We start from the raw sequence: 27987 nt of genomic DNA on the forward strand, positions 1-27987 counted from the left end.
TTGGAAGTCTAAAACATCTGGTAGAATCTTTCAGAAGAAGCAACACAGAATAGAGGCATTAAAATCAAAATTTGAAGTCTGAAACTTCTGTTTCTTACCATCATTAAGAGAGAAGTGCCCAATGACAATCATTTCTCCAAACCATCAGCAGCTCCTTGGAAATGAAGTGGAAGGGTGATAATATATCCAGGACAGACCTAGCTAATGTCTTAATCTTGGCATAATTATTAATAATAACATTCCCTTTCCTTCCAAAAAGTGTCTAGGACTCAAAGGTGAGTTCATTGGGATAATAAACTATGGCCACCTTAAATGAAGGCCCCTTCAGCTCTCCTGAGCTAGAAAGTCCCAAAGAGCCTGCTCTTTCCCTGGGCAGGAAGCCATGGTGACCAGTGGAAGGATTATGTCTGTCTTACCAGAGGCCTGGGTTGGGTGCCAGCATGAAGCCTGTAGGATCTACTTAGATCTGGGACTTCAAAGACCTAGTGGTGGGTGAATCTTTGTGGCTTCCATCATTGCTTTGTCTCTGGGAGCATCAAGTTGAAGGCCAAGCTAGTTTCTTTCCTTTGATGAGGGAAAATATGTCAACACAATGGTCCACTGAACTCTGGGAATAGACAGACATGTGGTGTCTTTGGGGGATTATAGCCTAAATGGTTTTACTCTGGCACATGTGGAATTAAATATAAAACAAACAGCTGATTGCTGTTAAATTCACATGCATAAAAACAACCATTACTATGTCTTCTCAGCTACAGTACCAGAGAGTCCCCCTAGAATCAAGCAGTTATTAGATGGGACTTTGGAGTGAGTGTAGAAAAGAAAAGGAGGAGGAGAAGGAAGAAAATGAGGAAAAGAGGAAGAGGAGAGAGAAATAACAAGTCAAATAGGTGGAGAGTTTTGAAAGTTACAAAGTCTGTGCCATTTAGCATGAGTTATTTTTCCTTTTTATTCCTTGTATTTGACATATGAAAAGAAATCTTTGCTGATACTGGCTTCAGATTCTCAGGTTTAAGTATGCTATCCTTGACCCAGGAAAGAGTTACATGCATCATACTTCCGAGGCCTTCAAAGAACAACTTGGAGCAAGCTTGAGAGTTTGCAGGGCATTTTGGTGACATTTCTGGATGCCCTTTGTTTCCCCCTTTCAAGAAAAGCCCTTTCTTTCGTTGCCTTCTCACATAACAGCTTGGGATTCTTGTCCCTCCCAGAAATGCATTTGAACTTGCTGGGTTTGTTAAGAGTCAGGGCATGAAGCATTTTTCCATGGTAGAAAAGTTCTGGCATTCCAAAGCAGAACTAATGTGGGATTTGGGAAGCTTGCCCTATTTGTGCACTTAATTAGAGCTCACCAAAAGCAGCTGATCCATTGGTACCATAAAAAACCAATGCTGAGACCAAGGAAGGCTAAGACTGTGAGTACCCTTAGAGGGTGGTGAACATGAATTCCACACCTGTTCCCTACTGACTGGAATCAGGATTCAAAGGCAAAAAGTTGTGTGCTTTCCAGCAACATTCATTGGGATCCGCAGCCCAATTTAATCAATTGATAGGTTGCCAGTGTCTAAGTCAAGTCCCGAAACACTTGGTTCCCCTTGGGTCAATGAAATTTGGTCTTGGTTCTAATACAAACTTTAAGTTGGCTAAAAATGGCTGAGAAAACTACTGGTTTTAGAGTCAGTCAAGCCTGTGCTCTAAGTCTGACTCTGCCACTATGAGATGTCAGATCTTGGAGAAACTGTTCAGTTACTTCTGAGCTTTAGTTTGCTTCCCGGTAAAGGGACATACTAACACCTATTCCATGGGTCCATTATATACACAACAGCCAACATTTGTTGAGTAATTACTATGTGCAGAGCACTGTGCTAAGAGCACAGTCTATGTTAACTTTTTAATCCTCATACAGACCTAAGGAAATAGATTCTATATTGGAGATTGGCAAACTACTCCCCACAGGCCAAATTTTGCCTACTGACTGTTTTTGAAAATAAAGTTATATTGAGACACAATCACATCCATTCATTCACATAGACCCTATGGCTGCTACTGTGCTACAACTGCAGAGTTAAATAATTGTGACAGCGACCAAATGGCCCATAAAACCTAAAATACTTACTATCTGGCCCTTCATAGAAAAAAGTTTGCCTCTGCTTTAAATTATCTCAACTTAAAGATGAAGGAAATAAGCCAAAGGTATTAAAACCTATTTTAAGTAGGTTAGCTGGGGCCACAAAGCTGGTAACAGGTAGGACTAGGATTTGAATCAAACAGCCTGACTCCAGAACTTGTGTTAGTCACCAGTATCTTATATATAATATATATGAAATGCCTAGCATAGTACCTAGCACACAGGAGATACTTAATACATCTGTTTTATTAGCATGGTATTCCCTTTCTTTTTACCTCCTTTCCCAGTTTCCTATCAATTCCAGTTACCTTTTGCTTTTCTTCTGCAAGATAATTCAGTTAAGCATATTTCTGGCCAATTCTATGCCCATGATCTCAGTCTATCCAACAACTCTATGAGGTTGGTATCATTATTTTCATTTAAAAGATGAAGAAACTACATCTTGATCTCTGAGCTCCCAGGAATCTTTGCACTCCATTTGGGGACCCTCAGAGGAAACGTTGCTAGGAACTTTTGGAACATTTGTTTTATGCGGCAAACTAGCATCAAAGAAAAAAGAATCTCAGTGGCTGCTTGAGAAAGGATTACAATCTAATTAGGGAGACAAAACCAAAATACTGAGACAACAGCAGGCATTTTAAAGTAAGTTATTTAGTACAGACAGTAAGTGAGTGTGAATTCAGAGAGCTGGGAACAAGAGAGCGGACAGGGGAGGGGAGGGCTCTCAAGTTTCCTGGTCAAATGTGAACTGTGCCTTGAATGACAGACTGAATTTAAAAAGGAGAGGCTCAGATTCAGGCATGATGGAAGCGGGAAAAGGAACCACAGATTTCCTGCAGAAATGGAAGTGAGAGCTCTCAGACGGACAGAATCAGCAAATCCCTGGGAACTGTAGAAAATCAGAATGAGTAAATAATGTGGTGACAGATTCTACAGGATTTTGAAGGCCAGAGAGAGGTACCTGGGTTTCAGAATAACAATAGTGATCATCATAACACTTAGTTGCAGGATTGCTGACCACACACATTTCACATATGCTCGCCCTTAACCCTCCTTGTCCATTCTGTGATGTAGGTATCATCCTGTTTTACAGATATGAAAATTGAGGCTTAGATTATAGCAATCAAAGGTTGATGGGAAAATTAGAAATATTCTGCTTACTTAGTTCAACAGTGCAGAGCTTTTGTGTTGTTACGTTCTTCCTTGGATACATGTGCTTGTCGTTGAGATTTTATAGGGTAATCTATATACCCTATAAACCCATTTAATATAATCATAGGTTCTGCTTGTTCTAATACTGTTACCTATAAACAATTCCCCATGGACTCAGATGGAAAGTGCCATGAATTAAAGACCTTACACTACCTGGACCACTCTGATACTGCCCACCACAGGCAATGGGCAGCTATGGCATGGTTTAGAGCATAGGATACCATAATGAAAAGGATCAGTTCTTTCAACAAAGGCCGGATGGGAAAGACAGGAAGGAGGAAATCGTGTGAACCCAGAAGTGTGATATTCGATGGAGAGGCAATCCTGGGATGAACACCCAGAGCTTGGGTTTGGGATGGCTGAAGAACTTATGCCAAGAAGAGAAGGCACACATGTAGATTGAGAAGGCCATGACCAGCACTGCTTAAGTCTTACCACTTAGTCATAGTTGAGGGACATAAGACTTGAAGTATGGAGATTTAGGCTCAAGTCCTAGTCTCACGGCTACTGGCACTATGTGAAGAAGGACGGAAAAGGCAAGAATTATATGCTGATTGAGTTATGCAATATATTGTGTCTTCCCATCAATAGCACTTAAGTATTTCTGTGTGCCAGCACTTTCTAATTTCTCTTCTAATCGCTTAACATATATTAACTTATTTAGTCTTCAGAGAAACCCTATTAGATTGGGGGTATTATCATCTTCTTTGTATAGCTGGGGAGACTGAGGCACAGAAAAGGTTAAGTAACACACCTATGGTCACACAGCTGGTATGTAGAGAAACTACACTTTGAACCCATGCAGTTTGGCCCCTGAGTCCATGCTCTTACTTACTGTCACATTACCTCTCAGGAGAAAACAGGATAGGTGTTACGAGCCCAGTTTTACAGATGATGAGACTGTGGGTCCAAGACCATAAGGGATTTGACTAAAGATCAAACAACTAAACAAACTGTTACGCTGGCATTTGAACTAGGTCTTCCTAATTCTGATCCAGACATTCTTTCTATCAGATCACACTGCCTCCTGTTGGTGTGAAAGCATTTTACAACCATAAACCTCCTCCTGTTTATTAACACATTATTATGATAGATATAAGGCTTCTCTGATTCAGTAGGAAAACTAAGGAGGTAGATCAGCCAAGCTCGTGGTTGGTAGTAATAAAGGGCTTGCCTTCTAGACGGTGACTCCCTCCAGGAGAGCCACCAACCAGTTCCTAACCTCTGTTTCTTGCAGTTCCTACAGAGCCTGGCATGGGGCAGAGGGTGGCTCTCTACAAATGTTTGTTAAACACAACTTGTTCCAGATAGAAGCATGTGAGGCTCTCCACTACCACCAGTGGCATAGCAGGCACACCCATGCATTAGCGACTTGCCCTCTGCCAACTCCTGGGATGGTGATATGATGATGGTTCTTTGTAAGCTTGTCACTTGTCCCTCTTCCAAAGTGAGTTTACCCAGAGGAGCATTCTGAGGTTGAATTTGTCCCATACCACCCCTTCACCTACACATTGACACTCCCCGCTGTATACCATGGGGTCAGAGACCTTGCACTACAAAGGCCCCTTGCCAAGCGTGGTATTGCTTGCAGCCTGTCTGAGGCTTTCACTACTTTCCCCCAGACTCTCAGCCCCTGGCCTCCTGGCTCATGGCCACTCCCAGTGCCCTTAGCTTTAGCTTCCTGACCCCCCTATAACTGGCACCCAGGACCACTTCACCAGCTTCCTTCTCAGAACAATTGACTTTTGCCCCTGGGGTACTTATACCTCTTTTGTTCAAGGTCACACCCCAGCTCAACACCCAGGATCCACCCTGCCAGCCTGTGTGAGAGCCATCCCCACTAGACTTTGAAAGGGACTGGACAGTGTGTTCAGCCACCTTCTCAAGGGCCTGTCCCTGGCAGCTTTACTGGTCCCACCTGTTCCTAGCCTAGGAGCTGCCAATCCAACAAGATGAGGCTATTCTGGGAAGAAGCAGGAAGACCTCTTCACCCTAATTGAGTCTTTCTTAACAAAGAAGTCAACAGAACTTTTTTTTTTAAGTGTTTTAAATACTGCACAGGATGCTACAGCAGTTAAGAGCATGGCCTCTGGAATCAGAAGGATATGAGTTAAAAATCCAGTTCTGCCACTTGCTAGCCATGTCATCCTAGGGAAATTACTTAACCTTTCTCAACCTCGGTTTCTCATTTGTAAAATGGAGCTAAAAAAGGCCCACATTACTAGGTAATCATGAGAATTCTGTGAAATGATATATGTGAGCATATGTCACAGCATGTGACAAGCAGTAGATGCTCAATAAATGATAGTTATTATCAGCATTATATTAAATATTATTAAAGTATCTTTTAAGACTTTCTGGAGACATTTCATTCAGACAGTTATTTATTCAACAAACATTTATCGAGAGCCTGCATTTCTCCAGATCCATGCTGAGTGCAAATATGGGATGTATAATTATGTTTATAAAAAAGAGCGGTGCATGTTAATCACTTACTATAGGCCAGACACTGTTCTAGGCATTTTAGGAACATTCTTTCATTTAATATTGATAAGGGCCTTGCAAGTTGGCAGAAATTATAATTGTCATTTTAGAGATGAAAAAACTGAGGTTCAGAGAGGTTATCCCCAAAAAGACATGACCTGTGATTGAGTGTGGCATGCATCACCCTTAAATAAACCAAAATATTTTAAGTTCAAGTCCCCACTATTGAGAGATCGACAATTTACTCCCATGTAGTAGAATGCCTTTATATAACTTTCTTGTTAAAGTCAAGGTCAGAGCAAAGTGGTGTGATTTCCTCCTCATTGGTAAAAATCTCTGTAAGAGGTGAGTGTTCTCGTGCCTTTGTTAGCATGCCAGCAATGAGCCTGGGGTCTCTCCTCTGATTACTGGGGATTTCATCATCATTCAGGATACCTTCTCTCATTATGTGGGACTGAAAATAGAGATAGAAAAGGCAACAGGTAAGGGGCTCATAGTGAACTCACCCAATGCATGCTTTGCAAGTTATTTTGTTTTTTAAGCAAGTCCCAGTCATGATCTTGCTTTCGGATTCATGCCTTATGCCTGTAGCCATTGAAAGCCAAGTATGTCAGGGGGAAAAAAAGGTCCTTCAGTTAGCTGAGGTTTTATTCTGTTTCTACTTTGGTGGTTTGAAACTAATTACAGACTCGGTTGTGCCTACATGTGCAAAATGAAATGAGAGGTTGAGCCAATTACTTTAATAATGAAGAGAGGAAAATCCACTTTTCTTTCCATTATCTAAAGATTTCAGGCATATGTGAGTTTTATATATGTATATATTAAATTATGTGAAAAATTGGCCTCAAGCCTTCATTTCACTTTGCCTGTCTAGAAACAGACTCAAATTTTGTTTCGGAAAGGAGATGACATGCCTTAGGCATCTTCCAGGAGACTAGAGGGTCTTGTTGTAACAATTGCAGCTAAGATTGATTTTCTTATTGTTATGATGAATACTTGTGCCTGCCTGGGGGAGGGAGGTATATTATGAAGGATGACTTTTAAAAAAAGGCTGGAATACCTAGAATAAACTTTAGGAGGAAGTTTCCACTCATATTATTTATTCATTCATTTATTTAGTTCTTTTCAGGACCTGCAAAGCCCTCCTGGCCTGGTGCTCACTCCCTTTCTAATTTCATCTCCTTCTGCCACTTGCCCAAACTGCCCCAGCAGGTCTGGCTTCGTTGCTCTCTTTCCATTCACTGAGCACACTTCCAACTCAGGGCTTTCAAGCTTACAGTTCCCTCCGTGTGGAATCATCTTTCCGTTGATTTTTTCATTGTTCACTCCCTCATTCCCTTGGATCTCTGCTCAAATGTCATTTTATCAGAGAGATGCCATTCCTAGTCACCCTATACAAACTGCCTGCTCCACGCCTACCATTCTCTGTCCCCCTTGCCCTACTTGATGTTTTTTTCTCCCTAGTACTTACCACCATCTGTGTGATATATGTGCATGAACTTATGTGTTATTTTGATAAACATGACCATATATTTTATTTTAATAAACTTTATTTTTAGAAGAGTTTTATATTTACAGAAAAATTGTGAAGATGATACAGAGAGTTTTTCTTTTCTTTCCTTTGTTTTTTTTTTTTTTTTTTTGAGACGGAGTCTTGCTCTGTTGCCTAGGCTGGATTGCAGTGGCACAGTCTTGGCTCACTGCAGCCTCCACCTCCTAGGTTCAAGCAATTCTCCTGCCTCCGCCTCCCAAGCAACTGGGAGTACAGGCGTGCACCACCACACCCGGCTAATTTTGTATTTTTCGTAGAGACAGGGTTTCACCATGTTGGTCAGGCTGGTCTCGAACTCCTGACCTCAAGTGATCCACCTGCCTTGGCTTCCCAAAGTGCTGGGATTACAGGCATAAGCCACCACACCCAGCAGATACAGAGAGTTTTTCTAAACCACATACTTAGTTACCTTTATTATTAACATCTTACATTAGTATGGTGCGTTCGTTACAATTAATGAACCAGTATTGATACATTATTATTATTTTATTTTATTTGTTCACCAGTTTGGAATGCAATGTATTTTTAAACAGAGTGAAAGACACCTGACAGGTAACTGAACAAGTTAGCATTAGCTGGGCCCAAGATTAACCAACTTGTATCAACATTCACAGACTTCTGCAGATTCCCTGAGGACAGCAATATCCAATAGTGTTTACTTGTTTTGTGAGCACAGTAATAGAAGCAAAGCGAGACCTTTGTTAATTAAAGCACATATTTTATGCAGATTTCCTTAGATTTTACCTAACATCCCTTTTCTATTCTAGCATCCCTTCCAGGACACCACGTTACATTTAGTCATCATGTCTCCTTAAGCTTTTCTGGCTTTTGATGACCTTGACATTTTTGAGGAGTACTGGTCAGATACTTTGTAGTATGTCCTTCAGTTGAGATTTGTCTAATTTTTTTTTTTTTCATGATTGGAGTTTTGGTCTTTTGGGAGAAAACAGAAGACTGACAAAGTACCATTCTCATCATATCATATCAAGGATACTTACTATCAGTGTAACTTATCGCTATTGATGTTGGCCTTGGTCACCTAAGGTAGTGTTTGTCAGGCTTCTCCACTATAAAATTACTCTTTCTCCTTCCTTTTTACACTGTACTCTTTGGAAAGAAGTCACTAAACACATCTCAAACTTAAGGAGTGAGTGAGAAGTAAGTTACGATCTACCTCCTCGTGGGAGGAATATCTACATAAATTTGGAATTATGCTGTTTGGGAGATTTGTCTCTTCTCATTTATTTATTCACTCATTCATCTGATAACTCATACATATTTATATTTTTGGTTATAATCCAGTACTACTTTGTTTTGTTACTCAGTTGTTCCAGTTGTAGCCATTGGCAACTCCTCAGTTGGCTCCTATGACCCTTTGACATAATCCCGTAATTGTGTGTCTTGTGAGGTTTTAAAAAATTATTATATTCTTACTTTCTGGCACTACAAGGCACTTTAGGCTAATTGTGCATATTTCCTGCTCCAGTTCTGGAATCAGCCATTTCTCCAAAGAGTCTGATTCTTTTTTTTGTTTTGTTTTGTTTTGTCTGTGTGACGGAGTCTTGCTCTCACCCAGGCTAGAGTGCAGTGGCACGATCTTGGCTCACTGCAAGCTCCACCTCCCAGGTTCATGCCATTCTCCTGCCTCAGCCTCCCGAGTAGCTGGGACTACAGGCACCCGCCACCATGCCCGGCTAATTTTTTTGTATTTTTAGTAGAGACGGGGTTTCACCATGTTAGCCAGGATGGTCTCAATCTCCTGACCTCGTGATCCACCCACCTCGGCCTCCCAAAGTGCTGGGATTACAGACATGAGCCACTGTGCCTGGCCAGAGTCTGCTTCTTGTTACTGGAGACTGGTGGTTAGACACCAAGATTTGGGCACTAAGTGTGCTCATTGCTCTTGGGCTATTGTCAATGCTTCTTGGCCCTCCCAGCTGAAAGAGCAAGGAAATGTGTATGTACCCTAACCCATGTATATACCCATATCTATAAATATTTCTGTATGTAATCATCTTTTTGATATTAAGCTAAACATGAATTCACACTGGTTTCCTACTGTAATCTATTGCCACATGGATCATTCTAACTCGCTCTCCTTGCTTATATTTAAATTCCCCCTCAAATAATGAGAAATCTGGCTCCCACCATCTGCCATCCATTTACTTAATTATTCAATTTCAGTATACATGTATAGAAATACCAGAATTGTTAACTCATACCATTGCAGAATACAACTTTATTAACTGGAAGACAGTACTTATATACAGTTTTCTTGGCATTTTCTTGTTTTTTTTTGGGGGGGGGTGGTTGGGGGTTTTTTTATCTTTAGTTTTTCAGACTCTACTAATTTCTGAAGTTACTTAGGTCAGCACCTTAATCACCCACCACACAGAGTGAGATCGTTTTATACACTAGTAACACAGTTACATTGTTTTTGACATACTACATTCCATCATGGGATCCCCCACCTCCTGAATTTTTAAAATTTACGTACATTAAGGTTTACTTTTTGTACTCTAACATTCAGTGGTTTTGATAAATGCATAATGTCATGCATATTCAATTACAATATCATATAGAATAGTTTCAGCACCCTAAAAGTTAAAAATCCCATCTGGGCATGGTAGTTCACACCTGTAATCCCAGCACTTTGGGAGGCCTAGGCAGGCAGATCACATGAGGTCAGGAGTTCAAGACCAGCCTGGCCAGCATGGCAAAACCCCGTCTCTACTAGAAATGCAAAAATTAGCCAGGCATGGTGGCAGGGGCCTGTAATCCCAGCTACTCAGGAAGCTGAGGCAGGAGAATCGCTTGAACTTGGGTGGTGGAGTTTGCAGTGAGCCAAGATTGTGCCACTGAACTCCAGCCTGGACAACAGAGCAAGACTCCGTCTCAATTAAAAAATTAAAGTTAAAAATCCCCCGTGTTGGCCAGGCATGGTGGCTCATGCCTGTAATCCCAGCACTTTGGGAGGCCGAGGCAGGCAGATCACGAGGTCAGGAGATCAAGACCATCCTGGCTAACACAGTGTAACCTTGTCTACTAAAAATACAAAAAAAAAAAAAATTAGCCAGGCATGGTGGCAGGTGCCTGTAGTCCCAGCTACTCAGGAGGCTGAGGCAGGAGAATGGCGTGAACATGGGAGGTGGAGCTTGCCATGAGCAGAGATTGCACTGCTGCACTCCAGCCTGGGCAACAGAGCGAGACTCCATCTCAAAAAAAAAAAAAAATTCCCCTGTGTTTTACCTCTTTAACTTTCCCTCCTTTTTTCCCAACTCCTTGACGATCACTGATCTTTTTATTGCCTCTATAGTTCTACCTTTTCTAAAATGTCACATAATTGGAATCTTGCTCCACATACTTTTTTAGCATTTGGCATTGTTCGTTTTTTTATTTTAGCTATTCTAATAGGTTTATAGATGAATGTCACTGCTGTTTTAATATGCAATTTTTAATGGCAAATGATGTTGAGTGTCTTTATATATATTATGTGCCATCTATATATCTTCTTTGGTGAATCACATGTTCATATATTTTGCTTACTTTTTCACTACATTGCTTGTTTACTTATTGTTGAATTTTAAGAGTTCTTTGTATATTCAGATACAAGTTTCTTTATCAGATATGTGTTTTCTTCTAGTTTGTGGCTTGTCTTTCCATTCTGTTAAAAATGTCTGTTGCAGAGCAGTTTTAGAATTTTAGTGATCCAGCTTATCAATTTTTTTCATGGATTATGCTTTTGGTTTTGTATCTAAACTTATCACCTAACCCAAGGTCACCTAAATTTTTTCCTGTTATCTTCTAGATGTTTTATAGTTTTGTGTTTTACAATTACATATGTGATCCACTTTGAGTTAATTTTTGCAGAATGTCTAATGTCACTGTCTAAATTCATTGTTTTGCATGTGGACATACAATATTTCAAACATGACTTGTTGAAAATATTACACTATATCCTTTGAATTACCTTTACTCCTTTGTCAAAGGAGTTGGAAAAGGAATAAATCAGTTGACTCTATTTGTGTCTATTTCTGGATTCTCTCCTTGGTTCCATTGATCTATTTGTCTTTTCTTTCCCCAACCTTACACTGTCTTAATTATTGTAGCTTTACAGTAAGTCATGAAGTTGGGTAGTGTCAGTTCACTGACTTTGTTCTTTTTCTTTAGTATTATGTTGACTAATGTAGATCTTTTGCCTTTCCATATAAATTTTAGAATCATTTTATGGATACTTAAAAATAGTTCGCTGAAAATTCAATTTATTTATTTCATCAGAGTTTTGTAATTTTCCACATATAGATTCTGTGTACTTTTGTTAGATTTATACCTAAGTGTTTTTGTGGGGGTTTTTTTTGTTTTTTGTTTTTTGTTTTTTTTGCAGCATGCTATTTTAAGTGTTATTTCTTAATCAAATTCCATTTTTTCCTCAATGGTAATTGCTAGAAAGAAATTGACTCTTGAATATTAACCCTGTATCCTATACCCTTACTTGTTTGCTTATTAGTTCCAGGATTTGGTGGTGTTCTCATTGGGTGGGTTGGTTGATTTGTTCATTCTTTGTGATTTTCCACATAGACATTCATGTCATCTGAGAATAAAGACAGTTTTCTTTCTTTCTTTCCAGTATGTATGCCTTCTCATTTCTTTGTCTTTTTGCACTAGCTAAGACTTCCAGTACAGTCTTGAATAGGAGTGGTGAGAAAGGACATTCTTGCTTTGTTCCTGATCTTAGTGGGAAAGCATCCAGTTTTCCATCAAGTATGATAATAGCTGTAGAGTTTTTTTGTACATGTTCTTTATCGAGGTGAGGAAAATCCCCTATATTCATAGTTTGCTGTGAATTTTTAATTTTTAATCACAATAAAAAATGATTGTTAGATTTTTTTGAAATATTTCTCCTTCATTTATCAACATGATTATATAATTGTTTTTATTTAATCTGTTGATGTAATGGATTACATTGACTGATTTTTGAATGTTGAACCAACCTTGTACACCTGGAGTAAATCGTATTTGGTTGTGGTATATAATTCCTTTTACACGTTGTTGGATTGATTTGCTAATATTATATTAAGAATATTTTGCATCTATATTCATGAGAGAGAGTGGATTTTGGCTTTCTTTTTTTAATGTCTTTGTCTGGTTTTGGTAATAGGGTAATGCTGACCTCATAGAATGAGCCAGTAAGTTTTTCTTCTGCTTATTTTCCTGGAGGACATGGTAAAGAACTGGTATAATTTCTTCCTTAAATGTTTGCTAAAATTCACTAGTAAAAACCATTTGGGCCTGGCACTTTGGTTTTTGGAAGGTAATTAATTATTGATTCAGTTTCATTAGTGGATACAGCTCTATTCAGATGATTTATTTCTTGTGTAAATTTTGATAGTTTTTGTCTTTCAAAGAAGTAGTCCATTTCATCTAAATTATTTTTAGTTGCCAATGTTAGTAATTTGTAACTTCTCTCTTTTTATCTTGATTACCCTGGCTAAAGGTTTGTCAGTTTTATTGCTCTTTCTAAAGAACCAGCTTTGGTTTCATTGATTTTTCTCTATTGCTTTCCTGTGTTTAAATTCATTGATTTATGCTCTAATTTTTATTATTTCTTCTGCTTTTTTAAAATTTTAATTTCAACTTTTATTTTAGATACAAAGAGTACATGTATAGGTTTGTTACATAGGTATATTGTGTGATGCTAAGGTTTGGGTACAGATCCTTTCTCCCAGGTAGTGAGCATAGTACACAATAGGTAGTTTTTCAACCCATGTCTCCCCTCCCTCCTGTCCCCCTCTAGACATCCCAGTGTCTCTTGTTCCCATGTTTATGTCCATGTCTGCTCAGTGTTTAGTTCCCACTGACAAGTGAGAATATGTGGTATTTGGTTTTCTGTTCCTACATTAATTTGCATAGGATAATGGCCTCCAGCTACCTCCACGTTGTTGAAAAGGACGTGATTTTTTTCTTTTTTATGGCTGCATAGTAATCTGTGATGTACATGTTCCACATTTTCTTTATCCAGTCCACCATTGATGAACACCTAGGTTGATTATATGTCTTCACTATTATGAATAGCATGGCAATGAACATGCGAGTGCATGTGTCTTTTTGGTGAAATGATTTCTTTTCCTTTGGATGTATACCCAGTAATGGGATTGTTACATTGAATGGTAGCTCTGTTTTAAGTTCTTTGAAAATATTCACAGTTAAAATGAATTACCTAGGAATATACTAACCAAGGAGGTGAAAGATCTCTACAAGAACTATAAAACACTGCTGAAAGAAATTGGAGATGATACAAATAAATGCCAAAACATTTCATGCTCATGGATCAGAGCAATCAATATTGTTAAAATGGCCATACTTCCCATACAGATTCAATGCTATTCCTATCAAACTACCAAAATGATTTTTCACAGAATTAGAAAAGCCTATTCTAAAGTTCATATGGAGCCAGAAAAGAGCCTGAATAGCCAAAGCAGTTCTAAGCAAAAAGAACAAGGCCAGAGGTATCACAATACCTGTCTTCTGCTTTCTTTAGATTTAAATTACTATTTTTCCCCTCCTTGTCTCCAATGTCTCTTTTGCCTGAAATTAATGTAACTACTACAACTTTATTTTGATTAGTGTTAGCATTGTGTAGCTTTCTGCATCCCTTTACTTATAACCTGTCTAAGTTAAAAGTGGGTTTCTTTGTAGGCCTTATTCTTTTAATCATCTCTGGCAATTTCTTTCTTTTAATCAGTGTATTTAGACAATTCACATTTAAAGTGATTATTGATATAGTTGGGTTATTATCTACCATGTTTGTAACTATTTTATATTTGTAACATTTATTCTTTGTTTACCTTTTTTTCCTCTTGGCCTTTCACTGGTATTCATCAGGCATTTTATGTGATTTCATTTTCTCTCCTCTCTTAGCATATCAATTATACTTCTTTTTTTAAAAGGTAGTAATGTCCCTAATGTTTGTAGTATACATGTTTAATCTAAGTCTGGCTTCAGATAACGCTATACCACTTACATGTAGTGCAGGTACCTTATAAGGAAGTACTTTCAATTCCTCCTTCCTATCCATTATAACATTGCTGTAATTTATTTCATTTATCCATTTGCTATAATTACTCAATATATTGTTACTATTGTTACTTTAAACATATAATTATAGATCAATTAAGAGTAAAAAGATGAAATATTATCATTTACCTTCATTTATTTCTTCTCTGATGCTTTTCTTTTATGTAGGTCCAAGTTTTTGACCTATATCATTTTCCTTCTCTCTGAATAACTTTTTTTCAACATTTTTTATAATGTAGATCTCCTTTCAATAAATTTTTATTTGAGAATATCTTTCTTTCTCTTTCATGTTTGAAGGATAGTTTCATTGGGCATAGAATTCTAGGTTAGTGAGGTTTTTCTTTTAATACTTTAAATATTTTACTCCATTCTAGTTTTATTTACACGGTTTTCTGAGAAGTCCATTGTAATTCCTATGTTTGTTTCTCTATAGATTAGGTGGATTTCTTGCCCCCTTTGGCTTCTTTCAAAATTCCCTCTTTGTCTTTGGTTTTAATTTTGATTATGATTTGCTCAGCTTTCGATATTTTCATATTTATTCTACTTTGTGTTCTCTGAACTTCTGGATCTATTGTTTGGTGTTTCTTCTTTATTTTGGGAAATTCTTAGCCATTATTACTTCAGATATTTCTTCTGCTCCATTCTCACTTTGTTATCTTCATATTCTAACCATGCATATGTTATACGTTTTGAAATTTTTCTTGGGTGTCCTGGGTGTTTCCCTCCATTCTTTTTTCTTTTTGCATATCAGTTTGGGAAGTTTTTAACTGATGTATCTTCAAATTCACTGATTCTTTCCTTGTCCTTGTTAAGGCCATCAAAGGCCTTCTTTGTTTCTGTTGGTCTTTTTATTATTATTATCATTATTATTATTATTAGGATTTCTTTTAGATACTTTTTTAGCATTTTCGTCTCTCGTTACATTGTCCGTTTGTGCATAGTGTTTACTTTTTCTATTAGAACACTTATTAATCATAGTTGCATTAAATTATCTGATAATTCTAACATTTGTGTTATATCTGAGTTGGGTTCTGATTCTTGCTTTCTCTCTTTGGACTGTGTTTTTCTTGCCTTTTAGCATGCCTTTTAATATTTTGTTGAAACATGGATATGATGTATCTGGTAATAGGAACTGAGACAAATAGGTCTATATGTGACATTTTGTGTTAGAAATTGAACTGTGTTTAATGTTTGTTATAGTTGTACATGCCAGAGGCCTCACATTCTTCTATTGTCCTTATTTTTTCATCCCCACTATTGTCTTTGGCGTCCCTAAGATCTCCTCCTTAGATAGAGTCTATGTCTTGCTGCTCTTTGAGCTGTAATTCACTAATATTATACTGGGGTCATGTCGATGTGGTTTTAAGGTATGGGGAAGGAAAAGCATTCTATAATCTTTTGATTATATCTGTCTTTTAGTGGGACTATGTCCCTGAGCTATGACCTTCATAGATGTTCTTAGGCCCCTACTCCTTTAGGTGAGACAGAAGGCTTGCAGGCACTAGAGTTGAAGAGATGTCCTTCCCCTGTGTGCAATAGGCTTTTGTAAAGTCTCTTCCTCTTAAAAGGTCTTTATTATGGAGAACTCTGTGTTATGGAAAAACACTGTAAAAAATATTTTACAGTGTTTACGCTTTCCCTCCCCCTGCCAGAGCCAAGAGGGGATCATTCTTGACTCTTTGGATTCCTGGAGGTAAAACCGATGAAAGTGTGGGCCCCCTTCCACTAAGACTGTTACCCTCAGGAGTTGCTCGCTTTCCTATTAGTCCACACTCAGCCCCCAACACTTCAAATTACCACTGAAGTGTCCCTACCAGTTTATGACTCCAGCAGCTGCTCCTCCAAGTAAGATCTCAGCTGTGACTGTCTGGGTTGTCCTTTCTCTTCAGATTTCAGGGTGATAGTTTGTCCTGTAACCTCAGTTCTCTTATGGATCCAACAAAAATCACTGATTTGCAGTTTCTTAGCTTTTTTTTTTTTTTTTGGAGTAAGGATGGGATAAATGACTTAGACAGTTTTTACATGTTGGAGCTATAACCACAAGTCTCTACATGTCTTTAATGTACTTGCTGACTTTCCCTACTGGAATGTAAGCTTATGAAAGCAGGGGCCATGTCTGTTTTATTCATAGCTACAGCTTCAGTAGCCAGAATAGCACCTGACTCAAAGTAAGCGGGCCAATAAATAGTTGCTAATAGACTAATTAATCTCTTGGCAGTCATTGAGCATATTGTTATACCAGGCACTGTGCTTAGTGTGGAAAGACATCAGGTGCCTACATTATTACAGTGGTGTGGGGGCAGGGCATGGTGGACATACAACTAAAATAACAATAAACCACAGATCAGAGAATAGGGAAGTTTTAAAGCACTGAGGACACATACCTCATCTAGCCCAAGCAAGAGGGAGGTAGAGGTAAAGCATTGCCAGAGAAGAAAACCATCACCTGAGTTGAGTTGTAAACAATGAGTAGCTGTTAGCCTGTATAGTGGAGAGGGACCCAGCCAAGGAGACAGCACAGACCTGTCAAAGTCCATGTCGGACAACATGCAAAGTGATTTACTTAACCCACCTCATGAACGTTTAGTAGCCCACGCAAGGCAGGCCCCTGTTAACTCACAGGTCAGGAAACTGAGCCTCAGACAGTTTAAGTGACTCGACAAAATGTCACCAATGCTGAGTGATGGAGCAAGTCGGCTTGAGGCCAAGGTCCATTTTCTCCCTGCTACAAAGATGACTAAGCACGACTCAGAGTCTGGTGGAGGAGCAGAACACATAAACAGTCTTTGATGATACCCATGCTCTTTTGAATTTGCTCTATTGTTGTTCATTTTCTTTAAGATTTCAGCCCTAGAAGTAGCAAGCTGAAAATCAGGGCTGCTTTGCAAATGCCCACAAACCACTGAGGGGAGTTTTGTCAAAGAAGGCGGGAAAGAAAAATAAATGTGGGCTTCTGCTCTTTAAACCTCAGCCCAGTGAGGCAGACTTTCCCGGAATACTTCAGGCCTCTTCAAAGGCCTATTGTGGAAAGTGTCCAGATGTGCGTGGAAAACCTCACTGGGAAGCTTCCCGGTGAAGAGGCCTTTTAAGCATGAACCGAGATGAAGGAAGCTGACGCCATGAGTCCTATCAGGTGGCCTTTTTTCTGAAGGAGCCCAGATTTTCCCCTAACCTTAAGAAGGTTGTAGGGGGTTGGGTGATTAGCCAGTTCGTATTCCTTTGATTACAGGAAGCAGTGGGGTTAGTTGTTTTTTGTTGTTGTCTTTCCTTTTTTTGCTGAAGTGAGAAGAGGAGATGGGGGTGGGGGGCATTCTCCATATGATTTATCTACCTGTAAGTTGTTAGTGACAGTCTGGTCATTCCTCCAGCATACCTTGTGAGGGCCAGGAGGGATTTCTGGATTGGATAAAGTTGAGGCACTGAGTAAGTCCTGCTAGTTTCTATGATGATGCCTCTGAGTGTTCTAAGAGTCAGAATCCCCTGGAATCTGGCTCTGATCCCCTGCTCCGAATCCCTGTTTAAGCTCTCTTCCCAATGCCCTGTTTATCCTAGGTTTGAGGCCCCATCTTCCTCTTGCTAGATACAGTTAAGCCAGAGAGACCCAGATTTAAATCCTGCTCTCTCATTAGCTGTGTCATCTTGCACAGAGTAGCATCAGCCTCACCGAGCCTCAGTTTCCTCATCTGTAAAATGGAGGTAATACCAGTCCCGTCATCATCCAGTTGCTGTGAGGATTAAATGAATTGCTGAGTTGCCGCACACAAAGCATCTGGTCCAGTTCCTGGCACAGAGTGAGGGTTCAGTTTATTTTCATTCCTTTTCTCTTTAATCCAGTTGTACAAAGAGGCAGAGCTGTCCCATTTGACCAGAGAATTTTACTTCTGTAGCTCTTTAAATTCTCTCCCCGCCATGTACATATGGGCTTAGCTAAGTATTTTGAGATCACAGTGTATTTAGGGGAAAGTCCTTTTGGCTACAGCTAAAATTAGGCCTCTCTTGTGCTCCTCTGTTTACCACCCCCCTTCCTATTTTAACTAATTAGAGGCATTGACACTAAGAAACACTTAAGAAAAGTTGGAAGAACAGCTGGGAGTTGTTCTAGATACAAGCAGCTGCTCCCTGTCAGCATGCAGGCACAGAAAAGGATGATCCTGAATGGGGAAGTGCAGGGAGGGCACCTCAGAGATGAAGATGAGGAATGGCAAAGTCTGTCTATGTTGTGGCAAACTGAGCAGGGTGGAGTTCTTATCACTCTGTCCTCTACCTTCTGCTGAGAGAAAAGGGGGGTCAGAGATACCAAAGCAGATAGAGGAAAGGGGGGCAAGAAAGGGGAAGGGAAGGAAGGTATTCAGGAGCTTAGCTAGTTGGTTAGTTGATTACTTTATGCAGACCACTGTCGCCCCCACCTAGACCACTGCGGTATCTCCTAACTGGTCTCATGCTGCCGGCTGCTTTCCTGCTGGAACCAGAGACGTCACAGGAACATGCAATTCTTGCACCCTGAAATCCCCGCGACGAGCTTCCACCATGGAATTTAGACAGAATTCCAAAACCCATCACATGGCCCCCGAGTACCTGGATGCACCTTCCCCCTGTTCCCCGTAATTGTTACTGCTCAGTCCTGCTGGCTTCTGTTCATTCGCTCTGCTTCAAAGGACTTTCTCTCCTGGAGCCAGATTGCCTGAGTTTAATCCAGGTTTCCCTACTCGCTACTACTACTTACAGGCCTCTCCATCTCCCTTCCAGCCTTAAACACCTACTGAGCTCCCCTGGAATTCCCTGTCCACGTCCTACACACTCTCCTCATGGAGTCCCCGGGCCTGTGCACCCCCAAATAAAAGTTTCTGTGTTTCCAGATGGCCATGGTGACTGTGCATAAAGCCTAGCAAATGTGCATCAAGCCAGAAGACACGAGACCTTTCCAAAGGGCTCATGTCTTCTGGCCTGATGCACATTTTTGTGTCCCCTGCCCCATCTCCTCCTCACTACCCTCGGGAAACTGGGTGATGTCTCTGTGGGAAGGGCTGAGCCTCAGGCTCTGTATTGATTGTCCAGTGCTGCATTTAAACTTCCTGACTGGATATTCAGAACTTATGCTGTTGTTTTGTTTTGTTTTGTTTTGTTTTTTTGTTTTGTTTTGTTTTTTAAAGCAAGCACCTTCACATCTCAGGTGTAAATGCCAGATCTTCTAACACTTACAAGGACAAATTCATTTCTTACTAAATAGTCAAGCTTAAAACCCACATGACTGGCTGATGTAAGCTTTGGCCTTGTCTGTGAGGAATTTTTGCAACATTATTTCTCTTGATTTCTTTCTTTGTTGCTGCTGTTCTCAGAACAAGGCAAGGCTGAGGTTCTCCTTCTCAGTTACTCCATGTCCCTGAATTAAGCCCTGTGAGATCTAAAAACAGGAGCTCTGTGCACACAGCCGTAAGGACAAACCCTCACTCTGCATCCCCCTAAGTGGGCCACATGCCTAAGCCCAGAAATCTAAGAGTTACTTCTAACAACTTTCTCTCCCTAACACCCTCATCTGGTCTGTCACTGAAGCATGTTTTCTGCCTCCTGAGCATCTCTCATATCTGGGTGATAAGAGAGCCACCTTGATGTCCCCTGGCCCTTGCTGACCTCAGCAGAGCCTTTGGGTGACAGTAGCTCTGGCTTCCCAGGGCCCTTGGAAAGGAGACTGTGGGGTCCGCGTGGTATGGCCCTGCCTGCCTCTTGGTTCTGTTTCACCCACACTTCCCTTCACTCTTATCTGCTCCAACAACACAGCCTTTCTCATTCCTCAAGTATCAGTTTTCTTTTCTTTTTCTTTTTATTTATTTCAGTAGGGTTTTGGGGAACAGGTGTTGTATGGTTACATGAATAAGTTCTTTTCTGAGACAGGGTCTTGCTCTGGTGACCAGACTGGAGTGCAGTGGTACCATAACAGCTCACTGCAGCCTTGACCTCCTGGGCTCACGTGATCCTCCCATCTCACCTCCCAGGTAGCTGGGACCGCAGGCGTGCACCGCCACACCCAGCTAATTTTTTGTGTTTTTTTGTAGAGACGGGGTTTTGCCACATTGGCCAGACTGATCTAGAACTCCTGGCTCAAGCAATCCACCCACCTTGGCCTCCCAGAGTTCTGGGATTACAGGCGTGAGTCAAGTGTCATTTTTCGTCCTTCCGTATGGCCCTCTCCTCTGCTAGACACATGCTTCCCCCTCCTTCAGCCATTAATACCTGTGCATCCCTTGAATCTCAGCTAAGCTATGACATACATGAAGCATACATGCATATAGACACAGACATACATACCATTCAACCTAACATGAGGTGATTGAGGAATGCCGAGACCCTCCTCTCCCCTCTCAGTGCCCTGAAGCAGCCCCTGGGGGAGGGGATGGCCCTGGTCCCTCTGACTCTGACAGGGACTGCCCTCCCACAGAGAGAGGAAGGCCTCGGGAGCTGGTTGTGGGCTCACCTCTGTGGTACTGCTCTTCCTCCTGCTTCTGAGCAGAGAAGGCCTGGGGGCCAAGGTGCCCAGGGGCTGTGGACAAGATCCTTTTATGCTCTGTCCTTGCCTCTAATGTGACAGATTATTTTGTAATTACCTGGCAGAGATAAGTTTGGTTTCTGCAAATAAACTAGCAAAGATTCCAAGGTTATTAAACACAACCTTGCCTCATCTATCTGGTCATATCCAAAAACCTTAAAAGAATTTTTGTTCTTCTGAATTTCACTCTCCAAGGCACAAAGACCAGGTGATGGTGGGGCAGGGGTAGAGAGAGGGATGGGAAGACTTCTCACAGTGATTCGAGAACGTTCACACACACATACGCACACAAAAACCTTCACTCTCCCCCTCTCCAACCCCACCCCACTGACTGCACACATGTCTTGGCCCCCTTGAGAATCCCTTTTCCATAGACAAGCCCTCTGAGGTAAGAGGTTTAGGCCTCCTTCCTGCTTTAGTTAACATCTTGTCTCCACAGAACCACATCCAACCTTCCATTTTTCTCCAACCTCTTTAGCTCATGAGGAAGATTTACAGCCTGGGAGTCAGGAGGCCCAAGTTCTAGTCCTTGCTTTGACACCAGGTGATATTGTGGTCTTCTCTGAGTATTGTTGGTTCACTCTTATGAGAGCATTCTCAGACCTGTGGCATTTTCACCATTGAATCCACTGTGCACAGAGGTAACCAACATTTGTGACACCTGCTGTTTGCAAAACACTGAGCTAAGAATTAGTGATTACTTCTCAACCCACCATCTCTACAAGGCAGCTATGACTCCTGTTTTATCTATTTATGAAGGAAGACAGAGCTTAGCAAAATTAAGAATGCTGCTCAGACCCACAAACAGGTAAGATTAGAGGCAGGTTTCAAAACGAGGTCTCTGTCTCCAGAGTTTCTGCCATCACAGTAAGCTGAGTCTCAACTGTACTATAGAAAAATAAATCAAAATGACATTTTAAGTATCATCTCTTTTATTTATGCATTATGCAGGAGATGGAACTCCTTTCTTAGATTTTTTTCCCCCAAATATGCTGTGCTCAGGAGCTGGGAAAAGGGAAAACACACACCCTGGGACCTTACACCCTGATATGGTTTGGCTGTGTCCCCACCCAAATCTCATTTTGAATTCCCCCATGTTGTGGGAGAGACCCAGTGGGAGGTAACTGAATCATGGGGGCAGGTCTTTCCCATGCTGTTCTCATGATAGCTGATAACTCTCACAAGATCTGACAGTATTATAAGGGGGAATTTCCCTGCACAAGCTCTCTCTCTTTTTTTTGCCTGCTGCCATCCATGTAAGGTGTGACTTGCTCCTCCTTGCCTTCTGCCATGATTGTGAGGCCTCCCAGCCATATGGAACTGTGAGTCCAATTAAACCTCTTTCTTTTGTAAAATGCCCAGTTTGGGATATGTCTTTATCAGCAGCGTGAAAATAGACTAATATAGTAAATTGGCACCGGGAGTGGGGCACTGCTGAAACGATACCCAAAAATGTGGAATTGACTTTGGAACTTGGTAACAGGCAGAGGTTGGAACAGTTTGGAGGGCTCAGAAGATAGGAAAATGTGGGAAAATTTGGAACTCCCTAGAGACTTGTTGAATGGCTTTGCCCAAAATCCTGATAGTGATATGAACAATAAAGTCCAAGCTGAAGTGGTCTCAGATAGAAATGAGGAACTTGTTGGGAACTGGAGCAAAGGTGACTCTTGTTACGTTTCAGCAAAGAGACTAGCGGCATTTTGCCCAAGCCCTAGATATTTATGGAACTTTGAACTTGAGAGAGATGATTTAGGGTATCTGGCGGAAGAAATTTCTAAGCAGCAAAGCATTGAGGAGGTGACTTGGGTGCTGTTGACGGCATTCAGTTTCAAAAGGAAAACGGAGCATGAAAGTTTGCAAAATTTGCAGCCTGACAATGCAATAGAAAAGAAAACCTCGTTTTCTGAGGAGGAAGTCAAGCCAGCTGCAGAAATGTGTATAAGTAACAAGGAGCCGAACGTTAATCCCCAAGACAATGGGGAAAATGTCTCCAGGCCATGTCAGAGGTCTTCATGGCAGCTCCTCCCATCACAGGCCTGGAGGCTTAGGAGGAAAAAGTGGTTTTGTAGGCAGGGCCCAGGGTACCCCTGCTGTGTGCAGCCTCAAGACTTGGTGCCCTGAATCCCAGCTGCTCCAGCCATGGCTGAAAGGGGCCAACATAGAGCTCAGGCCATGGCTTCTAAAGGCGCAAGCCTCAAGCCTTGGCAGCTTCCACATGATGTTGAGCTGGCAAGTGCACAGAAGTCAAGAACTGGGGTTTAAGAACCTCTACCTAGATTTCAGAGGATGTATGGAAATGCCTGGATGTCCAGGCAGAAGTTTGCTGCAGGGACAGGGTCCTCTTGGAGAACCTCTGCTAGGGCAGTGTGGAAGGGAAATGTGGGGTTGGAGTCCCAGCCCAGAGTCCCTACTGGGGCACCGTCTAGTGGAGCTGTGAGAAGAGGGCACTGACCTCCAGACCCCAGAATGGTAGATCCACTGACAGCTTACACCATGTGCCTGAAAAAGCTGTAAACACTCAACACCAGCCCATGAAAGCATCTGGGAGGGAGGTTGTACCCTGCAGATCCAAAGCGGCAGAGCTGCCCAAGACCATGGGAGCCCACCTCTTGTATCAGTGTGACCTGGATGTGAGACATGGAGTCAAAGGAGATCATTTTGTAGTTTTAAGATTTGACTGCCTCACTGGATTTTGGACTAGCATGGGGCCTGTAGCCCCTTTGTTTTGGCCAATTTCTCCCATTTGGAATGGCTGTATTTACCCAATGCCTGTACCCCCATTGTATCTGGGAAGTAACTAACTTGCTTTCGATTTTGCAGGCTCATAGGCAGAAGGGACTTACCTTTGTCTCAGAGGTGACGCTGGACTGTGGACTTTTGAGTTAATGCCAAAACGAGTTAAGACTTTGAGGGACTTTTGGGAAGGCATGATTAGTTTTGAAATGTGAGGACATGTGATTTGGGAGGGGCCAGGGGCAGAATGATATGGTTTGACTGTGTTCCCACCCACATCTCACCTTGAATTCCTCCATGTCGTGGGAGGGACCCAGTGGGAAGTAATTGAATCATGGGGGCGAGAGCAAACTGAGGACCAGAGTGGTTATAAAACTTGTCTGAATTCATACCATTTACAAAGTAAAAGAAGAGTCTAGAGCCCAGGTCTCCTGAGTCCTCAGAATCAACCAAGTCAAATAAGCTCCCCTATTCAAAAAGAAGAACCTTCAAGAATATTAATTTTGTGCCCATCTAAAAGCCTCACTGAGCTGTGCTAAAGGTAATAGGCATTGAAGAAAACGTTCTCACAGAAACTCCCAGCTGCAAACACAAAGAAGCAGCTCTCCAGGGAACAGGGTAAGGATTGTCTGAAGAGATCTATGCTGGTGAGATTACAAAAATCATAATATATGAATAAATGAACATATGGAAGGAATCAGCAAAGCCCTCTCATTCTTCCCGTATGTAAACTCGGCCTTTGCCTAAAGTCATTAAGTAAACACAGATGCAGCCAAACCAGGCACCAGATGGCAAACAAGAATTGGAATAAAAGGTAAAGAAAGCTTTTGGTGTTTACTCAAAGATGGGGAAAAAAACCATGATCCAAAATGCTGTGGTTTCCCCAGAATGGCCACCTGGAGTCACCAGGGCCCAAAAGTGACCAAATAAAACAAAACAAAACTAGAATAATCATGATTGGGAAGTTGTAGGAAAACCGCTGCTATCTTCTGTGAATGGAATCCCATGTCAGAAGAAACTGGTTATTCTGGGAAATGAAATAAATGGTTAAATCAAAGTACTAGGACCAGAGAGCAACAGGAATGTGGCAAGAATCCACTTTTGCTGGGCACTCACATCTGTCCAGAGCTTTGTATTCTTGGCCTTATATAATCCTCACAATTACCCATTAGGTATTGGCCAAATTTTATAAATGAGGAAATTCCATAAATGGGTTGAGAGAGATTAGGCCCCAAGGTCACACCACAGGAATGCCATCCTAGCTGTGGCCAGTGCTTCTTTGTCCATTCCCAGCTTCGTAGCTCTGATTTCAGTACCAGATACAGGGGAATCCAGGCACATTCTCTCTGCCTTTCCTGCCCAAACCACTGGACCTAAGTAAGAAGGTCACCTGGTCAGGTACTGCCTTGAAGGGAGACCAGAACAGACATGGAGTGGGGAACAGAGCATTCCTGAAAACTTAACTTCACCTTTATTTCACAAAAGACACCCTTGCACATGCCTCATCCACCTCTTAGCTTGTACATTTGCCATGAGCACCAGTAATGAAGGCAGTCCTTGTGAATATTTGCTTTTCAGTATGCATGAGTTTATATATTGGGGGTAGAAAATTCCAATAATGTTTCAGCTTCAACTAAAAGCTGTATCTTGTTCTGTCCTTGCCTCTAACCTGACAGATTATTTTTTAATTGCTTGGTAGAGATAAGTTTGGCTTCTGCAAATAAACTAGCAAACATTTCCTGCCCAGGCTACCAAACACAGCCTCACCTCACCTATCTGGCCATATGTAAAAACGTTCATTCAAATAAGTTTTGTTCTTTTGAGTTTTACTCTCCCAAGCGCAGAAACTGGGTAGTGAGGGGTGCAGGGGTATGGGGAGAATGGTTTCAACCAAACCATTCATTGCTTGCAGGTGGGAAGGTAAGGTGGAAAATGCTTTCCAGCTAAACAGACCTGTCTGATAACCCTACCACTAACTAAACTTGCTCTCTTGGGCAGGCCACATTATGCTTTGAGTTTTAGTTTCTTTCTCTCTAAAATGTACGTGGAAGGGCTGTTTTCAGAATTTTTTTTTCACTTTCCTCTTACCCATCTTCTCTTTTTCTACATGGTCAATCTCCACGTGGCTGTTTTATTTTTTCCCCATTGTTCTTTAGCAAAGCTTAATCCAGGATGAATTCAGCTTTGTGGACACTATAAATCAAAGCCATACAACCATAAGGCAGGCTTCTACCACTCTATACTAATTGTTACCAGTCTCTTAGCCCTGGTTTCTGGTTGGGTTTGGCCAATGGGCAGCCCCAGCAGGAACCTGGAGAATAATGAAGTTGTTTATTCCCCCAGCGCTCTCCTTGCTGGGTTGACGCAGGTTAGCTACATCCATCTACCATCCTTCTACAATGGACCACAGTTCCTGTGTGTGGCCCTTTCCCTACAATTTTGTGCATGATGGGAACCTCTCCTCCCTCCCTGTCCTCCTTCAGGCTAAGAGGTTGTAATGGCTCCTTACTGTTGGTAATCATTAGGTACTTGTTTCTTTACCTAAACCTTTTTAAACAACTCTTCTTGAAGCTTACTTCAGTTACCCAATGTGAGTGTCAATCTCTTTCCTAATAGGAACCTGAATAAATATATCACTTCAGCTCAATTTCCCATTTTCTACAATGACTATTATCAAACTTTGCCAATTTCCATCCCTGTCTTTCCTCTCATGTTCAGAGAGATGACCTCCTGTTTATTCTTAGCCACCAACTACCTCTAAGAGAAAAGCCATTAGAAAGACAACTGCCATTAAATCTCCCAGCTTTCTTAGATCCGGTAGTGAGCTGGGGCTAGCTCAGCCCTGCTCGCAAGAGCATATTGTGCACATCTCTTCCCAGCTTCACATCCATTCCATCACATTCAGAGCTTGAAACTGGCCAAGATGGAAGTATTTACAACACAGAAATTGGCAATTGATAAAATTAGGGCTTTCTATTGATTATTTATCAGTATTATTTATCAACACACCACTGCTTATATCCAGATACAGTCTTTTTCTCCTTCACATTTGTTACGATGAAAGAGATGGCCCACTTATTATCAGAGACTCTTTCATCTCCTACTGCCTCTAACAGCCCACTTAATTCATTATCCATTCACTCTATGTTTAGCTTCTTCAATACTATCTCCTTCTCATCAACATTTAAACATGCTCTAGACCTGTGCTATCCAACAGTAGCCATTAGTTAAACGTATTTATTGAACCCGCGAGATGTGGCTAGTCCAAATTGCAATATGTAAGATACACACCAGATTTCAAACATTTTGCATGAATAAAAGAATGTAAAATATCTCATAAATAATTTTTGTATTGATTACTTGAAATGATATTTGGGGTATAATAGGTTAAATAAAAACATATTAAAATTAAATTCACCAGTTCACTTACACTTTTTTAAGTGGGTACTAGAAAATTTAAAATTACTTGTGTAAATCATATTATTTCTGTTGGACAGTGCTGCTGTAAACCTTTCATCTTAAAAATAAAATCCCTGGCTGGGCACAGTGGCTCACACCTGTAATCCCAGCACTTTGGGAGGTTTGGATCTGTGTCCCTGGCTAAATCTCATGTTGAATTGTAATCCCCAGTGAGGAGGGCCCTGGTGGGAGGTGATTGGATTTTGGGGGTGGAGCTCATGAATGGTTTAGCACCATCCCCCCATTGGTACCACATAGTGAGTTCTCAGGAGATCTGGTTGTTTAAAGGTGTGTAGTACCTCCCTCCACTTCCTCCCGCTCCAGCCATGTAAGACGTGCTTGCCTTCTGTCATGATTGTAAGTTTCCTGAGGTCTTCTCAGAAGCAGAGGCCACTATGCTTCCTGTATAGCCTGCAGAACCATGGGCCAATTAAACCTCTTTTCTTCATAAATTACCCAGTCTCAGGTATTTCTTTATAGCAGTGCGAGAACAAGCTAAAGCAGGAAGATTGCTTGAGGCCAGAAATTCAAGACCAACCTGGGTAACATAGTGAGACACTTTCTCTAATAATAATTTTTTAAAAATTGCCAGGCGGGCGAGGCGCGGTGGCTGACACACTTTGGGAGGCCGAGGCAGGTGGATCACAAGGTCAGGAGATCAAGACCGTCCTGGCTAACATGGTGAAACCCCATCTCTACTAAAAAAATACAAAAAAATTAGCCAGGCATCATGGCAGGCACCTGTAGTCCCAGCTACTTGGGAGGCTGAGGCAGGAGAATGGCTTGAACCCGGAAGGCAGAGCT

General features: G+C 41.2%; 1 protein-coding gene and 1 non-coding gene across 56 annotated transcripts in view, besides 1 other annotated feature; one reads left to right on the top strand and one right to left on the bottom strand.

Moving 5' to 3' along the window:
• FGGY (FGGY carbohydrate kinase domain containing) overlaps window positions 1-27987 on the top strand; it is a 466353-nt gene that overhangs the window by 417512 nt on the left and 20854 nt on the right. The gene's annotated exons all lie outside the window — the stretch shown is intronic.
• Window positions 17028-17322: an enhancer, noted in NCBI's record as "tiled region #6224; HepG2 Activating DNase unmatched - State 1:Tss, and K562 Activating DNase unmatched - State 5:Enh". NCBI's record gives its function as "activates a minimal TATA promoter and a strong SV40 promoter by Sharpr-MPRA in HepG2 and K562 cells {active_cell/tissue: HepG2 | K562}" and the evidence as "EXISTENCE:reporter gene assay evidence [ECO:0000049][PMID:27701403]".
• MIR4711 (microRNA 4711) lies at window positions 19338-19407 on the bottom strand. Its single transcript, NR_039861.1, has one exon. It is a non-coding gene; the product is annotated as a microRNA 4711 (primary transcript).

The sequence above is a fragment of the Homo sapiens genome, chromosome 1 (assembly GCF_000001405.40).
Source record: "Homo sapiens chromosome 1, GRCh38.p14 Primary Assembly".
NCBI lineage: Eukaryota > Metazoa > Chordata > Mammalia > Primates > Hominidae > Homo > Homo sapiens.